The sequence below is a fragment of the Homo sapiens genome, chromosome 13 (assembly GCF_000001405.40).
Source record: "Homo sapiens chromosome 13, GRCh38.p14 Primary Assembly".
NCBI classification, from domain to species: Eukaryota; Metazoa; Chordata; class Mammalia; order Primates; family Hominidae; genus Homo; species Homo sapiens.
In genome coordinates, this window is record NC_000013.11 from 46,933,109 (window position 1) to 46,936,432 (window position 3,324).

Below are 3,324 nucleotides of genomic sequence, written 5' to 3' on the forward strand. Positions count from 1 at the left end.
TCTGAGCTGGATTGGTGAGCATACATGAAGATGGTACTGTTTCTTCAGGTGTCAGCCAAGATGGCAAGCAGGAATAATACTTTAATTATAGAAGGCTGACATTTCTCACCAATTCATGTGGACATATGAGCACAGTATTTGCAATTCACAACAGAAAAGATTGCTGATATTAGTCCTGGTTAAACAGAAGCATTGTTTGTCACACAAACCAACTAGAAGCACATCTTGACCAAAGAAATTTAGCCAGTCTACAAATGTGGAAACAAATGTTTGCAGGAGGTCTTTTGGGATGGTTACTTCTCAGGCTTAGATGTTATCCCAATGACTTAATTTTTTGCCCCATGGAATCATAAAAAAATGTTTTCTAAGACCCCCAAGAACCAAGTAGAATGGACAGAGATGTGTTATCTTGATTTCAAGAAGAGATCTGTAAGAAGAAGTGTTTTGCAATTTTTAATTTTACATTCCACATTGAAGTCTGGTCACTCTTGTACAAAGCAGGCATCCCTTGAGGCTCTGTGACTTCCATCTGCCTAAGATTCTAACATCTGGTAGAAGCTGATATGAGGCTATTTTCTGGAGTTCTTTTTGAACTGTTTGATGAACTTCTCACCTAGCCCCACTTTCAGCAGTTCTCATTGAAAAACAGTGCATTTTGTCATAATCTTTTTTTTGAGGAGCTGATAATGAGGAAATAATAAAGAAGAGAAGGAAAAAAGGGAGGAAAAAAGAATGAAGAGGGAAGAAATTAGAAACCAACATTACTTGCAAGAAGAATAGCTTAATACTTTTATATATATTATATAATTTAATATTTACAGCTGTTGACAGAAAACCCAAATTCTGCAAAAGCATATTGAAAGAAGTTTATTCTGAGAAGAGGCAGAACAAGATGGTTGAATAGAAGCCTTTATTAATCATCCTCCCTGTAAGAACATCAAATTTAGCTGTCCACACATAAAAGCACCTTCATAAGAACCAAAAGCCAAGTGAGCAACCACAGTACCTGGTTTTAACTTTAGATCACTGAAAGGCATTGAAGAGGGTAGGAAAGACAGTCTTGAACTGCCTATGCCACCCCTTCCCTATTCCCTTGCAGCATCCATGTGGACAGAGAGAGAATCCATCTGCCTGGGAGAGACAGAGCACAGTGATTGTAAGACTTTGCACTAGAGCTCAGCGTTGCCTTGTCATAGTGGAAAGCAATACCAGGCAGGACTCAGCCAGCAGCCACAGAAGGAACATTCAGATCAGCCTTAGCTAGAGAAGAATTATCCATCCTAGCAGCTGGAAACTGAGTTCCAGTAAGTGCTGCCACTGTGGGCTAAAGTGCTGTGGAGTCCTAAACTTGGAACATAGTCTAGGCTACAAGGACTGCAATTCCTGGGCAAGTCCTGGTGCTTTGCTGGGCATGGGTCCAGTGGACTTGTGAGGGGTATGTGAGCTAGTGAGACACCAGGTGGGGCAGTCAAGGGAGTGCTTGTACCACCCTCCCTGAACCCCAGGCAGCACAGCTCACAGCTCCAAAAGAGACTCCTTCCCTCCACTTGAGGAGAGGGGAAGGAAGAATAAAGAGGACTTTATCTTCCAACATGGATACCAGCTCAGCCATAACAGGACTGGTCACTGGGAGAAGTCCTGAGGCCCCGTTTTAGGCCCTAGCTCCCAGATGACATTTCTATGCTCACCCTGGACCAGAAGGGAATCAACTGCCTTGAAAGAAAGGACCCAGTTCTGTCACCAGCTGACTAAAGAGCCCTTGGACACTGAATAGGCAGCAATGGTAGGCAGGTAGCACTTCCTGTGGACCTTGGGTGAAACTCAAGAGGCATGCTGGTTTCAGGTGTGACTCAGCATATTCCCAGCTGTAGTTGTTATGAGGAGAGGCTGCTTCTGCTTGAGAAGAGGAGAGGGAAGAGTCTATGGGATTTTGTCTTGCAGCTTAGGTACCAGCTCAGACACAGTAGGGTAGAACACCAAGAGGGTTGTTGGGGTTCCTGATTCTGTGTCCTGAATTGGTGGGTTCTTGGTCTCACTGACTTCAAGAATGAAGCCGCGGACCCTCGTGGTGAGAGTTACAGCTCTTAAGGTGGCGCGTCTGGAGTCTGTCCCTTCTGATGTTCAGATGTGTTTGGAGTTTCTTCCTTCTGGTGGGTTCGTGGTCTCGCTGGCTCAGGAGTGAAGCTGCAGACCTTCGCAGTGAGTGTTACAGCTCTTAAGGTGGCACGTCTGGAGTTGTTCGTTCCTCCCGGTGGGCTCGTGGTCTTGCTGGGCTCAGGAGTGAAGCTGCAGATCTTCGCGGTGAATGTTACAGCTCATAAAAGCAGCGCGGACCCAAAGAGTGAGCAGCAGCAAGATTTATTGCAAAGAGCAAAAGAACAAAGCTTCCACAATGTGGAAGGGGACCCAAGTGGGTTGCCAATGCTGGCTCGGGCAGCCTGCTTTTATTCTCTTATCTGGCCCCACCCACATCCTGCTGATTGGTAGAGCCGAGTGGCCTGTTTTGTCAGGGTGCTGATTGGTGCATTTACAATCCCTGAGGTAGATACAAAGGTTCTCCACGTCCCCATCAGATTAGTTAGATGCAGAGTTTCGACACACAGGTTCTCCAAGGCCCCACCAGAGCAGCTAGATACAGAGTGTCGATTGGTGCATTCACAAAACTTGAGCTAAACACAGGGTGCTGATTGGTGTATTTACAATCCCTGAGCTAGACATAAAGGTTCTCCAAGGCCCCACCAGAGCAGCTAGATACAGAGTGTTGATTGGTGCACTCACAAACCTTGAGCTAGACACAGGGTGCTGATTGGTGTGTTTACAATCCCTGAGCTAGATATAAAGACTCTCCATGTCCCCACCAGACTCAGGAGCCCAGCTGGCTTCACCTAGTGGATCCCACACCAGGGCTGCAGGTGGAGCTGCCTGCCAGTCCCACGCCGTGCGCTCGCATTCCTCAGCCCTTGGGTGGTCGATGGGACTTGGCGCCATGGAGCAGGGAGTGGTGCTCGTTGGGGAGGCTTGGGCCGCACAGGAGCCCATGGAGTGGGTGGGAGGCTCAGGCATGGCGGGCTGCAGGTCCCGAGCCCTGCCCCGCGGGAAGGCAGCTAAGGCTCGGTGAGAAATCGAGTGCAGCGCCGGTGGGCTGGCACTGCTGGGGGACCCAGTGCACCCTCCGCAGCCACTGGCCCGGGTGCTAAGTCCCTCATTGCCCGGGGCCAGCAGGGCTGGCTGGCTGCTCCGAGTGGGGGCCCGCCAAGCCCATGCCCACCCAGAACTCCAGCTGGCCCGCAAGTGCCGCACACAGCCCCGGTTCCCGCTGGCGCC

The 3,324-nt window shown here is 49.1% G+C and overlaps 1 annotated feature.

The window, feature by feature from the left end:
* Window positions 1,291–2,490: an enhancer, noted in NCBI's record as "MED14-independent group 3 enhancer chr13:47508534-47509733 (GRCh37/hg19 assembly coordinates)". NCBI's record gives its function as "activates an origin of replication core promoter dependent on BRD2, BRD4, P300/CBP and CDK7 cofactors, and independent of MED14, by STARR-seq in HCT116 cells {active_cell/tissue: HCT116}" and the evidence as "EXISTENCE:reporter gene assay evidence [ECO:0000049][PMID:35650434]".